This window comes from Homo sapiens, chromosome 8, assembly GCF_000001405.40.
Source record: "Homo sapiens chromosome 8, GRCh38.p14 Primary Assembly".
Lineage (NCBI taxonomy): Eukaryota > Metazoa > Chordata > Mammalia > Primates > Hominidae > Homo > Homo sapiens.
The window spans coordinates 3,693,270-3,710,107 of record NC_000008.11 but is presented as its reverse complement, the minus strand read 5'-3'; the positions used below and the strand labels follow the sequence as shown (position 1 = coordinate 3,710,107).

At 41.2% G+C, this 16,838-nt stretch overlaps 1 protein-coding gene and 1 pseudogene across 3 annotated transcripts in view; one reads left to right on the top strand and one right to left on the bottom strand.

Annotated features, from left to right (window-relative positions):
* The window catches only part of CSMD1 (CUB and Sushi multiple domains 1), a 2,059,554-nt gene that overhangs the window by 1,284,807 nt on the left and 757,909 nt on the right, over positions 1–16,838 (top strand). For all 3 annotated transcript variants that reach the window (XM_011534752.3, NM_033225.6, XM_017013731.2), the window contains exon 7: positions 1,617–1,694. In XM_011534752.3, coding sequence (XP_011533054.1) covers positions 1,617–1,694 — 78 coding nt within the window. The remainder of the gene's footprint in view (positions 1–1,616; positions 1,695–16,838) is intronic.
* On the bottom strand, positions 9,480–9,616 carry RNA5SP251 (RNA, 5S ribosomal pseudogene 251; annotated as a pseudogene).

The window sequence follows — 16,838 nt, the reverse complement described above, 5'->3', positions numbered from 1 at the left end:
AATGCGTAAAATATATGTAGATATGAGTCTATATGTTAAGTAACTGTTTATGTTATTGGTAAGGCATCTGGTCAAGAGTGGGCTATTTTCATTTAGGTTTTTGGGGGAGCCAAAAGATATAATCAGGTTTTCAGCTGTGTGTGGGGGTTGGGGGTTGGTCAGTGCCCCAACCCCTTGTATGCTTCAGGGGTCTCCTGTATATACTTCATATCTATATGAATCTCCTTATGTGCATGTGTACACACACACACACACACGTACACACACAGATTTACTATAAGGAACTGACTCACATGATTATGAAGCTGACAAGACCGAAGACCTGAAAGGGGTAAGTCAGCAAGTTGGAGACCAGGAAAGCCGGTGTTTTAGCTCCAGTCAGAAAGCAGAAAGCAGGGAAAAAAAAAAAAAAAAAAAAAAAAAAAAACATGCTGCTGCAATTTAAAGCCCATCAGGCAGGAGGAAGTCTTGCCTCTACTGGGGCAGATCAGCCTTTTGTTCTATTTGGGCCTTCATCTGACTGGACCAGGCCCACCCACACTGGGGAGAGCCATCTTCTTTCCTGAGTCAGCTGATTCAAATGTTAATATCATCCATGACATTCTCACAGACACCCCCAGAATCTCCTCTGGCCCAATGTCTGAGCACCTTGTGGTGCAGTCAGGTTCACACATAAAACTAACCCTCACAGCTATTTACACATAGAGTCACAGGCTCAGAGGCAAGTAACTTACCTAGGTCATGGGGCCACCCTGTTGTAAGCAAAGATTTGGAGCCGATCTGCCTGCTCGCAGCTGCTGTAGGTCCAGTCTCATATGGGGACCTCAGAAATGTTTCCACTGGGCACTTAGTAAAGCCAAGTGTGGGATAGCTTAGAAGATCATAACATTTTATATTCTATAATCACAAGATGCATCCCCCATTTTTTTTCCGTAAGTGACCAAAAAAAAAAAATGAAACTTCTTAAAATGTTTAATGCAGGCCGTAGTACATCAAGAAACATATTTAACTCTCAGAATGATGATGCTAGAAGCCAGGACCTCTGTGCCTTTTGCACAGCCTGGAAAGCGTCTGGAGGGACTGGTGGTGTCTAGCACTTTATCTACAGCACGTAGAGCATGCCTTTCCTCTACTTGCTCCCCACCCACACAGATTCGCTAAACTGTGAGTAAATGAATATATGAATACATGAATGAGCAACTGGCCTTTTTATCTAAACTTTTTTTCATGATTATAGCAAACTTAGACAACTCTGTAGTCAGGATAGATACATGAAGTGAGTGATCTGCCTGAACAATTTGGGGAATGATAATGATTGGTGGAATCTGCCACTCCTAGTGGTAAATAGGATTGGATGTGTAAAGTCAGTGGCAGCACGTATTATTTTTAGCTTCCGACACTGATGCTGTAAGATGTGATCTTGCTGCTTGATAGCCTCACAATAATTATTTACAAGCTCTTTGACTTCATTGACTTGGTATCATTCACCTCTTAGAACATTTCCCATTTTCGGGGGTTGATAGAAAGCAGTTATGACTGGAAGTGCTGTGTGGATACAACATGGTTTTATGATCTCCAAGTCTTACCTGCTAATGGCTTGGTTTTGTTTCTTCCAGTGAAAAAGGCGATTGAGTTGAAGTCAAGAGGAGTCAAGATGCTGCCCAGCAAGGATGGAAGCCATAAAAACTCTGTCTGTGAGTCCCTTTCCTTTCTATCTGAGGATTGATACGCCCTTGTAAGCAGAGGAGAGAATGGAGCAGTTAAGAAGCGATCCCACCCACCACCTTCCCCACGTTATCTCTTCCTTCTTTTCTATATCCAAAAGTATTTTCTGGGAGAAAGAACATGCACTAACTTCACTTTGTTACGGAGGAATGTCGTGGTGGTTCTAACTCCTAACCATGTGTCACGTCTGCCCTGATCACTGTCTGAGACTGGACCCTCCAGATGTCTCTCTTAAGTATATGTGACACGGTCAGTCATTTTCATACCAGTCTCTCTCCGTCCTTGCACACCCCACACACACCAGACCAGACTGATCTCTGCAAAGGAGAAGTTGGTTTTTGTCTTTTGTCTATTGAAATATTATTGACCATTCACTGCCTGGAGAGTAAAGTAGCTTTCGGGCAATGTCTACGTCCTTCCAAAGAGAAAACAAGATCTGCAGACATGTCTGGCTGATGACTTTTGCACGTGCCCAGGACCTGGTAGATACCAGATCAATAGCTGTGGGAGGAATGAAGGTGTCTCCCACACCTGCCATTTTGGTGCCTTCTCCTAAATGCCCATCGTCATCACTCAGCCATAGGAAGCCCTGACCATGCCTGGACTGGGTCATGGTGCTTCTCTGCCAGAAGGGCCCTTTGTCCTTTAGCTGAAAGCCAACAGCCTATGTGCTCCTTGGAGACTCACTATGCAGACCCTTCTTTCTCTGCAGGTGCAGTCAGCTCTCCACTGGTTTTGCTCCCCACACGACCTTACACATGTCATAACAGTTACTGGGTACCAGCTTCACTGAGGGTTTGCTTTTCTTACAAACGAGAGATGAGTACCGTCTACTGAGATACCAAGTGGGTTGACTTCCTGTAGGGGCCGTTTTCTGCTCACGCTTCTTCTAGGACTTTCTACCCATTGGGTTGTGTTTTCTATGCTTCCCTGGCAATCTTTTCATGTGATGTTTCTAGCCTTGCTCTGTGGGTGCGCCTGTCCCCGGTGTTTTGCATCTGTGCATATTGTTTTTCCGTTGCCTAGCAATTAGTGGAAGGGCTGGGATGGACATCTGAACCCTCTCGGGTCAATTCTGTTTACATCTGCATGCTAGAGCAGACTTCTGCATGAGGTTTTATATGCAACAAATATTCTGCTAAAACTAATAAAAGAAACAATCACAATCTTTTGACAACGATACTATAGATTGACCTACATCTTTATCACTTTAGGATTTCCTGACAATTGCTTGTGTGACAATAATCCATAGTCTGTGCTCAGTCCTGCGCAGGTTGAGAGGACAGAGAGGTAAACATGTCCCCTGGGCCTCAGAGGCAGAGAGGAGCTACCATACTCTGACTACCCCTCTGGTCTTAGGTGTCTCCCACTTCCAAAAGAAAAAAAAAATCAATCTGTAAATGTTTGCATGGCACTTTCTATTGAATAATCACAGCCAGTCACCCTTTAATGAAATTAGATTGGAAAAGGATGGGAAAACTGAAGGGAAAAAAATCTGAGAAACAGTAGAAGGAATAAAGGGTTTTTTAAAAATAAAATTTTAACATTTTGATATTGTTAGCTTTTAGTATAGAATGTTCTGTAGAGGGAGATATAGTATTTACAGTAGTTTGAAAATGATTTTTATGATAAAACCCTGCACAAATGATCTAAAGTTCAATGTAGAACCACATATCCGGCCAAACTCTTACATTAAATCAATATCAGGTTGGATATCCGATCATTTGGGCATCAGATTTTTCTGCTACTGTAAGATTGAGGCAGAGCTTTTTTTCTTTTGTAATAAGGAGAATATCTCTTCTGTCCTCATCTGAACACAAATTGACATATGCATAATGACTCATTTGGTATTAGCGTTCTGTCCTTTCTTTTAACGGTATTAAAGTATTTGTCAAGCATGGGAATTAATCATTAGGGAAAATGAGGAATGGAAACCTTGAGCCTTCTAAGATGAGGAAGGTAATCAATGGTAATGTGTCATTCCAAAGAAAGGTATGACAGAGAAAATGAAATTGTTTCACTGATGAAAGGACATAGGGTTTGAAGCGACAGGCAAGCATTCAATAGCTGTGCAAGTATATGCCTTATTCAAGTTCAAATGTCATCGCTTACACAATTATTAATAAAATAGTAATCCTTTCCATAGGGTTGTCACTCCGATAAATCAAGAGGGGTGTAAACTGCCTGTTGCAGAGTGTGGCATGCAGTGGGCATTCTGTTCACCTTAGGAGCCTTCCATAGTAAATGGAGGGAAGTGAACCACACGGGGCGAACGGTAGGGGAGGTAGGCACAGGCCAGGCCACGTTCCAGCGCGTCATGCGTGCCTTAGGCGTTCCCACCATGAGCCCCGTTTCCTCTTCAGCACCTCATGAATCCTTTACCATCTGTAGGAGACTGAGTATGAAAGTGCTTTACGTTCTTGATACCCAAGGTGACACTGGCTGCCCACATGCCTATTGCTGACATGAGGATTTCATCTTCTGTCTGCAGGGAGTGAAGTGCTGGTGCCTTCAGTGGAGGCCTCATTCCTTTTCAAGCCATTCCATTAACTTGAGTCTCTCCACTTCTGCTTCACCCCAAGATCTGGGTTCCTCTGGGAGACCACAGTTCTTGAGATTCTAGAGATTAGATCCAAGCACACAAACCTCTCTTGCAGAAGTGATATAATCCTTTCCCCAACTAAGGGTTTTGTTGCGGATATGACAGAAGATTTATGGAAAATGTCTAGCTCAGGGTCTGCAGGCACTGTTAGCTCTTGTTCCACAGCCCCCTCTGTTTGCTTCCATCTTAGTATTTTTTATTCTGTAAGCTGGACATTTTTGTTTGTTTATGATCGTTCTTTTTCAGAAGACTCCCCTGGGAGTAAAAGAAGTGACAGCAGTGGCCAGGGAATTATCTGTTCACTGTAGAGTGTGAGGCTGTCCCCGTTAAGAAGTTTTCATCCAGTGCTGGCTTCACCAAAGCCAGACAGGGGTGGACACTGCTAGCAGCTCCTGTATTCTGCCCGTGGGAAGCACCAGGGTATGGATGGAAGGCTGAGCTGCCTCCTGCAGCCCCCTGAAGCTGTCTCTGCTCCAAGGCACAAAAATCAGAGGTCACAGCTCTTTGCAGAGGGTGACCTTGTGCGTTCATGTCCCTCTGGATTTCAGCACCAACTTGTGCCCCTTGTTGCCTTCAGTGCAGAAAGCAGCCACAGCTCAGTGGCGACTCCTTCCCCTGCCACTGCCCTGTCCCTGGTGGTGTCCCCAGATTCACCCTTTTGCAAACAGAGCCTTTGAAAGTAGCCTTGCCTGACTGGCTTCTTCTCCAAATGACATCTGTTTCCTGGTGGGACCCTGTCATGGTGATAGAAAATGTTCAAGGTTTTGGTGAATTCGAGAGGGCAAGTTCTACCCAAAGTTCTAGATGTTAAAAAATAAAAGTAAAAACAAACACTGGGCAAAGCAAGAAATCCATGCCCTCTGACTATATCAGATCCACCCAAAGTCCTGTTCATTATTACCCTCCCCTCTGCTCACTGTCAGGGCATCAGCAAGAGTTCAGCAAGTGCAGGAAGAAAAAGAGAGAGATCATGACAAGGAATGGGAGAATTTCCCTGACAGCCTCAGGAAACTTGCAGTTTGATAATTAAACAGATCAAGGTCAGTGGTCTGGTTGTCTAAGGTGTTATCCAAGCTTATTGTCTCATGACCAAGAAAATTAAGGGGCGTGGCCACAAAGGGTGAGGTTGGAGTGAAAGTTTAATAAGCGAGAGAAGAAAGCTTTTCACAAGGCAGAGGGGATCTCAAATGGGTTGCTGCTTTGACAGCTGAATTACAAAGCTTTTATGAGAAACTCCTCTTATCTCTCTAGCTGTTTGAGTCACTTTTCTAATCTGTAAAGCTGTCTGCATAACTACCCCTTATTTATGTTGTTGTGGTTATGTCCCTAGGCAAGTACAAAGTACCACTTCTCTTGTTTGTATAACTGTGGATTTGTTTTAGGAAGGCCCCCTCCTCCCTGTGTGAGTTCCTATGGAGCCCACTGGGTATATGCCTGAAAAAGGGAGGAAATTTTTCCTGGGAGCTCGCTAATCACGCAAAGAACAGAAGGCTTCTGTGCTGAATCCTGCTTGCTCATCTGTCCAGGTGCAGACTGACTTTTCCCAGGCTGCTCTATTTTTGCCTGTAGCTGTGATTTTTCAGGCCGGCTGCATCTCCAACAACCAGCCTTCACTGTCTAACTGACTGGTTTTTTTCTTCTGCCACAGTGATGGAGGACTGCTCTAATTATAAGACTTAAGAGAGCTAAGTTTTTTTGTTTTTGTTTTTTGAGATGGAGTTTCACTCTGACACCCAGGTTGGAGTGCAGTGGCAGGATCTCAGCTCACTGAAACCTCTACCTCCCGGGTTCATGTGATTCTCCTGTCTCAGCCTCCCAAATAGCAGGGAGTACAGGTGTGTGCCACCATGTCCGACTAATTTTTTTGTATTTTCAGTAGAGATGGGGTTTCACCATTGGCCAGGCTGGTCTCAAACTCCTGACCTCAGGTGATCTTCCTGCCTTGGCCTCCTTAAGTGCTGGGATTACAGTCATGAGCCACCATGCCCAGCTGAGAGTTAAGTTTATACAGGTATGTAATAGCTGGCCATAGATTTAAAACAAACTCCTGCTTTTTTCACTTGAAAGATGAAAGTGCCTGTGTTTGGAAGTCGTGCACATCCTGCAGGCTCATCTCTTCCTCTGCTTCTTCCTGCTAGGCCAGTGAAATTTTTCTACCAGACCTACCTTGATTGTACCTTTAGTTCAAGATGAGCCCCTTGAAAGTTTGGGGTTTTCCCATCCATGACCCACAGATCACACACCATACCTCCTCATCCCCTGACAGCCCAAGCTACCAGTACACAACCAGTATCTACTGATGAATGAATGAATGAATGAATGAATGAATGAATGAATGAATGAAAAGGGAGAAAGGAATCTCTGTGCTTTGGAACAAAAGCCCTATAGATTCTTTCATTTATGCCTCCTAATCTGATGAGTCTTTTGTGAATTTTGCTTTGGGAACCCACGTTCATCAGCTTCTTTACACAGCCTTGCTTTCAACCCTCCACAATTCATTTCATCATTAACATGCACAAAACCTAACCACATAGGGCAGCGCGACTGTAGTCTTTAGAGATATTTCAACTCTTCTGTGCGGTGAGGGCGACTCTCAACATTAAGTGTAGAATGAGAAGATTTAGAATTTCCTTTTTCACCAGCTTGTAATCAGTAATGTTTGAAGAAAAACCCAAAGATATTAAGATAGTCATTAATATCTTAAATATCTAAGTATTTTATAATTACGTGGTTTATATGCTCTAAATTTTGAATTATTTTATTCTTGGAAAAAGTGCAATGTAAATGGGCAATATTATGTCTCCAAAAGGGCATCTGGAATAAACTGAGCAAGCACCCATCCCCCATTTTCTTTCTCACCCTGAAATGGTGAACTGCTCTTTATTCTGAAAGTAGATTATTTCAATACCAAAGAAATTATTAAACTGACACTGTATATATTTGTTTGTTATTGAGACAGAGTCTCGTTCTGTCACCCAGGCTGGAGTGTGGTGCGATCTCAGCTAACTGCAACCTGCACCTCCCAGGTTCCAGCGATTCTCCTGCCTCAGCCTCCTGAGTAGCTGGGATTACAGGCATGCACCACGATGCCCGGCTAATTTTTCTATTTTTTAGTAGATATGGGGTTTCACCATGTTGGAAAAGCTGATCTTGAATTCCTGACCTCAGGCGATCTGCCTGCCTCGGCCTCCCAAAGTGCTGGGATTACAGGCATGAGCCACCGCACCTGGCCAGCACTCTATTTTTTAATGATGGTAACAGTACCTGTCATTTCTTCTTCTTCTTCTGAGCATTCTTCTTGGCAGAAACCAGTTTTAGCAGCTCTCAATGTGAGGATTACTAAAGTAGATAATCTGTGGATGCCCTTCTAACTCCAAAATATATACATCTCTAGGAAGAAAGATAAACAAAACATTGGTTGTTATTTTGAAGTAGAGATTTTCCCCACATGTAAAGTTAAAGACAAATGACTTGCCCAATTCGATATTGATTTGTTGTAGCTCACTCAGATGAGCTGATGGGACATGCTGTGTACGGAGGAGCATTTGCAGTTACAACACTTTGTAGCCATGCAGGATGGGGCAATTAATCCAGAACCATTATTTAATAAAAAGATGATTTTTTAAATGTGGAAAACTGAGCACTCTAATGCATTGCCTTTATGCCCCTGGGAAAAATAACAACACAACATTATAAAATAAATGCCCCTGGAATTCTCCTGTATTTAACCATAAACGTTCACTTCCTTGCTCTTTGTTTGTATTGGGCAATCAATGTTTTCTTACCCTGAAAAGAAAAAAAAAAGAGACCTGAAGCAAAACAGAATGATATTCGCCCCTAGTTTCCAAAGAGACAGTTCAGTTAATGAAAAGCAACTGATGGACTCTTGTCCTTCATAACGACACACAGTGGTTCCATCTCCCTCTGGCTTTTGTTGTGGCTCAGGCATAATTTGGAAGGGCAGATTTTAAAACTTGTATCTCTGTTTTTAGAAGGCCACATAAAGTGATGTCTCAATTACTGTATATACTTAATGATGTAATTATAACTGTAGAGTGTTTGGATTGTCTTTTGTAAATACCCTGACTGATTGAACCATTTTGCAAAATATACTTCAGAAAATAATTTTCCACTTGTATTTATCTACTTATAATTATAATATTCGTAGTTTTAGTTGTCTTAAGTTTGGAATAATTTATGAACAAATAAAATACACTAGTGGGTAATCTTCTCTTAATCGTTAAATTCCAATATGCTAAAAAAAAAAAATAAGGTTTAATCCTATATCCTGAAGAGTCTTTTGCCCTCATGTCAGCCTCTGAGTTTAGCACCATAACCGCCAGCAGCAGCTTCGGTTCAGCCCGGGGACAGACTTTCGCAACTGTTCTCTCTCTGGGATCTGTAGAAGCTGAGACAAAGAAAAAGAGAAGTCATGAATTATCATGAATAGGGCTACCATGAGAAATAAAGAGAGAAGAAAACCAGCTCACTCATATTCATCTTCGGAAAGTTGTCCCGAGATGATCCAATTCCAGAATGGACTGAGGTGGATTACGTGGCTTAACCTGCATTTCTCTTCTACGGGCCAGAACTTCCTATCCACGGGCTTACTTGGGAGTCACGTTGATGTCTAACAGGCATCTCTCTCCCTCTTACCTCTCACAGAAGAAGTCTGTGACTTCCACCATTCAGTCCCTAGACCTTCACAGCACCCCTCTCTCCGGCCTCTTGGTGAGCCCTGACTGCCCCCCGACATATCCCAAGCCTTTCTCGTTACCCCCAAACCACCGTCGCCCCTCACCTGTATCATCATGTCATCCTCAGCCTCTCCCTGCCCTGACAAAGTCCCACCCTGCAATCAGAAGGATCTGGGTGAAATATCAGTAGAACCACATCCTTCCTCTTCTCCAGACCCTCAAACGTTTCCCGTCACAGGCAGAACGAGTCCAAATTCCTTATGAAGACCCAAAGAACTCCTTTGCTCCCACCCTTGCATCCTGGTCCTCTTGGTTTCTGGGCTGTTTCTTGAGGACATTGGACACTCAACACCCCAGGGACTTTGCTCTCCTCTCTCCTCAGCCTGAAATAATGTCCCAAAGAAGCCGTATCACATCCTCCCTCCCTCACATCGTTTCTTAAAATTCGCTTTCTCTGGCAGCTGTCACTGATCACCCTAACTAAATATCATGTATCTTGAGCATCCACAACTTCTCCCATCCAAGTACTAACCAGCCCCGACCCTGCTTAGGTTCCGAGATCAGGTGCATTCAGGGTGGTATGGCTGTTGACTTGAGCATCCACACCTTCTATCTTCTTCTGTTACTTGCTCTGTTTTTGTGTTTTTTAAGTTATTATAACATATTACATATACATATACGTGTATGTTTATTTGAGTGTGTATCATAAACACACACATAAAGTAACCCTGTTCATTTCATTTCTCTCACATCTCCCAGTAGAATATAAACTGAACTACATGAGGGCAGGTATATTTTCTTTTGTAAAAAATTATTTTTCGTATTTTTTCCATAAGTTATTGGGGTACAGGTGGTATATGGTTACATGAGTAAGCTCTTCAGTGGTGATTTGTGAGATGTTGGTGCACCCATTACCTGAGCAGTATACGCTGCACCATATTTGTTGTCTTTTATCCCTCGCCCCACTCCCACTCTTCCCCCAACGTCCACAGAGCCCTTTGTATCATTCTTATGAGGACAGGCATATTTTCTACTTTGTTCTCTGATCTCTACTAAGAATTTATAAGAGTCTCAGGAACACAACAGATGCTCAGGTGGTGAATTGAATAACCCAGGGATGTAGTTATGGGATATAACCCAGGGATGTAGTTATGGGATATAACCCAGGGATGTAGTTATGGGATATAACCCAGGGATGTAGCTATGGGATATAACCCAGGGATGTAGTTATGGGATGGTGTGTCGTGTGGGAAGAGGGTGCTCATGTTTTTCTTCAATTAGATTTTTATATTTCACATCTTCACTCACACATTCAACAGTCCCTCGTTGCGGAGCATCCAGAAGCTGTCATAAAGATGATCAGCATCTGTTCCTTCTCCAGGGGAAATTATAGTCTTATAGTGTTTCAGATCACCAGTAAATATTTGTCACACAGAGTGCTGTCATAACGGTAGTAACATTTACTGATGATTGAGTAAAAATGGAAATTCACTATCTTTCAAAATATTAGTAGATCAACCCATAAAATATAGAAATCCATAGAAATAGAGGATGGAAAGCCGTAGGAAAGCAGGGCCATGTGAGGCGCCACCAAGTCCTCTTTAAAGGACTTCCTCCGTGGCTGAAATGTCTTATCTGTAGACTTGCTAGGTACTGGCTAAGAGAAAACTGTGCCCATTATCAAAATGTTATGTGTTGTATGGAGAAAAGCACAAATAATTAAATAATTCATCCATGTCAGTAAAACACACTAGTTTCAGAATCATGATATCCACTGCATGGAAGGAAACAGGAAAATTATGAGAAATTTTTCAAGTTTCTGTCACAAGGTGATAGCAGCTGGTAATAAAAACTAATTGTCAGTCTACATTGTGTGCTCTAGTCAGTCAGAAAACACAGTGTAATGTACTAATTTTCCTCCATCCCACTGCTGAAGGAGTTCATTTGTTACTGAGTCAATGGCTGAGACATGCTTGCTTTTAGGAAGGTCATTTGAAGAATTTCAGCGAATGCATGCTGCCTTTCTGCAGAGTGCTTCGCTAGATCCAGAGCTTGAGGTGGGATGTGGGTACAAGGAGGGTGGGATGAAAGGAAAGGAGAATGGAGTGAGGACCTTCATCAGCCTGGATGCCTGACTTAGAACACAGGATACCACAGAATGGAAGTTGTGACATGTCCCCTAATCCAATCAATTGCAAATGATGCTTATGTAGTTTCAAGCTCAGAAACTTTATTTCAGAAATCATTTTCCCACGGACATTTTCATCAGGCCATAATTTTCCAGATAACCAGATACATTTTCACTCTATTAGTCCGCATATGGATAATCTTCAGTAATGAACATGATCCTCTTTACTCATCTGTGAGAAACACATTTTGCTTCACAATAATATTATTAAGGAATACCAGGCGTGTTACTAGATTGCCAGAAATGCCTCTCATCATCAGGTCTTGCTTTTAGGGACGCGAGTGCTGTATTAGGAACGTGTGATTTATCTGAATGGTAGTAGGCCAGAGTGATTTCTAACACTGCTGCAGAAGCAGGCATGCCTGCTAATCCGTGTGCCAGATTTCTAGCACTAAGTGCTGTAGGTCTTGCTTTAAAGCAGATTTTGACGGTAGGAAAAATAATAGCGCCATTAACCTCTAACAGTAGTATAAAGGCTTAATAAAACAAGAAGGAGAATTGCTCTAATCTAGTTTGCTCCATCATAAAATGTAATAATGGAGTTTTGCAATTGTTAAAGACCCTGTTTTCTTAGCAAAGACCCATCTCCATATAAAACAAATGTAGTAGATTGTAAAAAATGCTTCATCAGTCAGGTAAGTAAATTATGCTTCCACTTTCTAAACAGGCGTTTGTCACTGCAGAAGCTAAAATATCTTTTCAAGTGCTATGGAAAATATTGCTGTGAAGGGGACTGCTGTCTAGATAGATTTGAGAACAGCATCACTGGGAACTAGAAGCAAAACAAGATGTTTCATCAATTATTCATCATACCGTTTATATCATATAATTTTTTAAATAAACAGAAAAAAAGGATCTATTAAAATACATAAAACAATGTATAGCCTGATTGGATTACAGGTGGTTAAATTGAATTGTAACCATAGAAGTAAAATGCTTTTCAAGTGGTTTCAGCATACAATTAAAGAATATAATTGATTCACTAAAGGGAAAAACTCACTTTGCGTAATGGCTAGAGAGCACATTCTTTTACCTCAAATAGTGAATGAGAAACAACCTGGAGATGATGGCAGACCTAAAAAAGGAAGTATAAATTTTAGCATTTCCATCACTACTTTTTAGAAGTGCATTGTAACACATGAATTTTCATCAAATTTTATATAAGAAAATAACTAAATTACTTTCTATTCCTATGTAATTGGATGAGGCAATCTCTGAACCTCTGGAGGATTATGAATGATTCATGTTTGGCGCCCACAGAGTCAAAACAATTCCAGCAGCAGTCAGAAGGGGGAACTGCTATATTCTTGTAATAAAATCATCTTACATGAGCAAGTCTTTGTTAGTGAGTAACTAAAGTCAGAAACTTTAAAAACTAATCAATGAAGCTTTCTTATCAATTAAAGAATTCCATTTTATACACAAGCAAACTAAGTCAGCAAGATAATTAATTAGCCTTGATATAAACATAACGAAGAGACCAAGAGTTAAATATCAAGATGAACTCAGATGATCAAAGGGAATTCAGAAAAAGTACATATCTCTTAAGCCTGGTTTTATTTAAAACACATTTTAAAGGTGTAAGGAGAAAACCGAAAATGTTTTCTGGTTAAATCCTTTCATTAGAGTGCTTACAGAATTACAGAATCATGAAACTGAAACTGACTACCATTTTCTGGAGAGAAATAAGTTTTGCCCAGACTTGATAATTTAGCCTCACTGAATGAAAAGTTTCAAAAACAAAAAAGCCAATTTAGACTGAATGATGATTATGCTGATTATTGATGACCTAGCAATATTGGGCCTGCAGTTATTCATGGCATCAGGAGAAGCTGCTACCTTGTGTCTGCCCTCAATGGAAGAGGAATGTGACCACATTCACCAGAACCCATGACCTACTGGATCCTGGGGCCCCTACGATCTACAGTCCCAAACTCTATAGTCCACGTGGCCCATATATGGAAGGCAAAGTGACTGATAAAGTGTTCTCTTTCATAAATCTATTTTCATGGGAGTTCATATGAGCTACACTAATATAGAAATAAGGGAATTTAAACTATGGGAATACATTTTAATTCAAATGATAAAGAGTAGAAGAAATATATTTTAGAAACTCCTGTTGACCTTATTTCCATATTCTTGACATCTAGTTTATAACTTGATCCTATACTTTAACGATTAAAATGGACAATTGGACTTCCCTTACTGACTGTTGTCTTATCTGCAAAATGGATGAGCTTTAATGTGCATCAGGGTTATATAATGATGACGTTTCAATCTTCCAAAGCGCTCATTTTTTTCCTGATCTGCCCAAATTAATTACCACACTAATTGGATTAAATTAGATCATTTAATTACACCAAATGATTATATTGATTTGCTTTAGCATTTCTTTCGTCACATCCGTTGGGTTCACTGCATTTGCATTATATTCACAGAGAAGAGATGTGCAGAAGCAGTCCATGGTAGCTTATGTCAGAGAAGAAAACTAAGTCACGTTTGAAGATATGTGAAAGTATACGACAAGTCAAAGAGATAAGCCAAGGTGAACACATTGGGTAATTAGTGAAGTGCTTCGGAGATGGAAGGCACCATATTTTGCATGCACTGCATATTATTATTATTAGAATACTTGCAGGAAGAGCAATGTGCCTGTCTAAATTGCCTATTTTATGGTTTGAACTGTCTGTTTGAAGGGCATATGGAATAACATCAACCATGTGACATCCGAAGAAGATACGTTCATTATGTATCTGGGAAAACCATGGCTTCAAGTGAAAATTCAAGGTAACTGATATGTAGGAAATGTCTCATTCCCTGTCCCCCATAAGAAAATCTTAACAGCTTTTTTTTGCACGTGTGCAAATATACAAATGGTAGGTCTTCCACAAGTCATATTTCTAACACTGGAAAAAACTATCCCATATCTTCAAGTGTAGTTTTTGGAAGGTCTGATTTGTCTTGTTCCTACAAAGATAGAAAATAATTAGAAAGATATCAAATGAGTACAATGAATATACCTTGTAAAAAATATAATGGTAATTTCTGTGAAATGAAACAAATAATGCTATTTTAAGTTGGAAAAGTGTTTGCTGGTTGATTTATAATCTGAATCCAGTTCATCATGTATTGAATATGCTCAGACTAGGGTTTAGCTGTCATCCTTCCTTCCAGCCAAACTGCTGTTTTAGTAACTTTTAAATACAATTTGCTAGAATCTTTCTAATCATTATTTTTAATATATTTCGACCTAAATTTCCTTTCTGGATGCTTTTGTGAAACACGTGAACATTTTCCTCTAGTACTATCATCCTTCAAAATAATATTATTCTTTTATTTGGTGGAAAGCAATTAGCAAATATTATATTATTGTTCTCTTCTGTATCTGTGATAAACGCTAATTATCATAAGGTAAAGCCAGATTTGTATTTCTCATGATTTTATATTAATATTCAATCTACCAAGAGGATTAATTGGAGTGTACCTAATAAAAGTGAGTTTTAGCATACAGGACACGTTGAGTCATTATTTTTTTTTGTGGTTATTTGTCATTTCTTACAGGAAATTAAGTGTTTTTTGGTAAAGGGCATTAGCTTGCAAATTCTGCATCGCGGCACTATAATTTTAGATGGATTAATATCCTTGCCCATGTTCCAAAGTCTTCCAGCGTTTATTGCATCTATAAGATAAACCTGGTTTTCAGACAGTGTCTTCGAGGTCCTTGGAAATATGTCCCCCTGTGCTCCTGCAATATCCTTGTACTACACTTCTTCAATAACCACACACACACACACACACACACACACACGCAGGGCCTCCAATTCTTTTGTGATGTTCTTTCTTCCACGTGACTTTTTCTCTTCCAAATTCCCTTTCATGTCTTCGTCTAATGTCCTAATCATCTTTAAAAACTCAGGTAGGATACAATTTTCACTACTTTTCTTGACATACTGAACTGGCAAGCTACACGTGGTGCTAATGATGTGCGATTTCCCCTCACACCCAGAATGAATCCAGCAGGTTTCTATGGTCTTTAGGATCCGGTATTGCTTCATGTCCTGGCTCATTCCTTGCCGCGTTCCCCTGGCTCCCTGCACTTTCTGTTACTTCTGCTTGGACCGCTCTTTCCACTTCTTTTTTGGTGTTGCTTTCGAAGCAGAATGGCACCTGCTTCCTCCAGGTTCTCCCCTTTCATTCCCTCTAAAGCCCACAGCAGTTCAGTGGAGCACCTCCTCCACTGCTGTGTCCACCCACCCAGCCTCCCTCTCATGCCCAGGGCTGGGTCCTTCCTTTTCTCCTGAGTTTTGCAGGGTGGGGAGTCTCGGGCCTGGCCTTCCACTGAACCTGAACCTGGGGATCTCACCCGGCCTCCTGATCTTAAAGACTGTCTCTATGCACATGCTTTCCCAGATGGTGTTTTCGGCCTGGCCGTCTTTCCCAGACTCATGTATGCAGCTGTCTGCCTGACACAGTTACTCCCTGGTGTGCAGCAGGCAGAGCTGTTGATCAGTCTTCTGGGTGTCAGTTTGGGAAAATCCTCAGCCTGAGTGACCCCTGTCTGTCTGCTCAGTCATGCTGCTGTGCTCCTGGAAGCCGACGTCTAGGAAGTGAGGTGTGGACCCCTGAGCATGACCAGGCTCTTCCTGGACTCCATGACAGAGCTATGGCCTCCCTGGGTTTCAGAGGTCCCTGCCCCATCTATGGACACATTCACCTTGTTGGTGAGATCTGTGAGCCCCTCTCCAGCATGTACACACACACCACGCCACACACAGCAAACACACCTATACCCAAAACACACACAACACATAACACTCCAACACACACAACACACACACACTAACACAACACACATACCCAACACACACACAACACATAATACCCCAACACACACAACACACACACACTAACAACACACATACCCAACACACACACACCCCTATATCCAACACACGACGCACACACCATAACAAACACACACACACACAAGACGCCAACACACATCTATATTCAACATACACGAAACACACATACAGCACATAATATACCCTAACACACACAACACACACACCATAACAAACACAACACACACACACACGACGCCAACACACATCTATATTCAATACACACAAAACACACATACAACACACACACCATAACAAGCATAACACACACAACACATACATTTTCTAATTCCCGTTCTGTTTCATTTTTCTCTTTATATCTTTTTATTACCTAATAACTACATATATGTACACATTTATTTATTTTGTTTATTGTCTCTCTCATGGAATAAGGGTGGGGATTTTAGTGTTCTATTCACTGTAGAACTGTGCTGGGGACATTGTAGGGCTCAGTAACGATATGTATAATGGATAAATGAATCTCCAGGCGGCTGCCTGCTGCCATAATTTGACCAGCAATTTCAGTATCAACTCCTCGTATCAATACCCAGCTAAGTCAGCCCACCCACAATTGTCAGCCTATCCCACACTCTTAACAAAAGTCATTATATTCCACATTACTCGGATTTTATCATTTCTTGGACATCTGACAATAATTGAAAAAAAAATTATCATATATATATTTCATTTTCTCCTAGAATATAATCTCATTGATAAGTGAC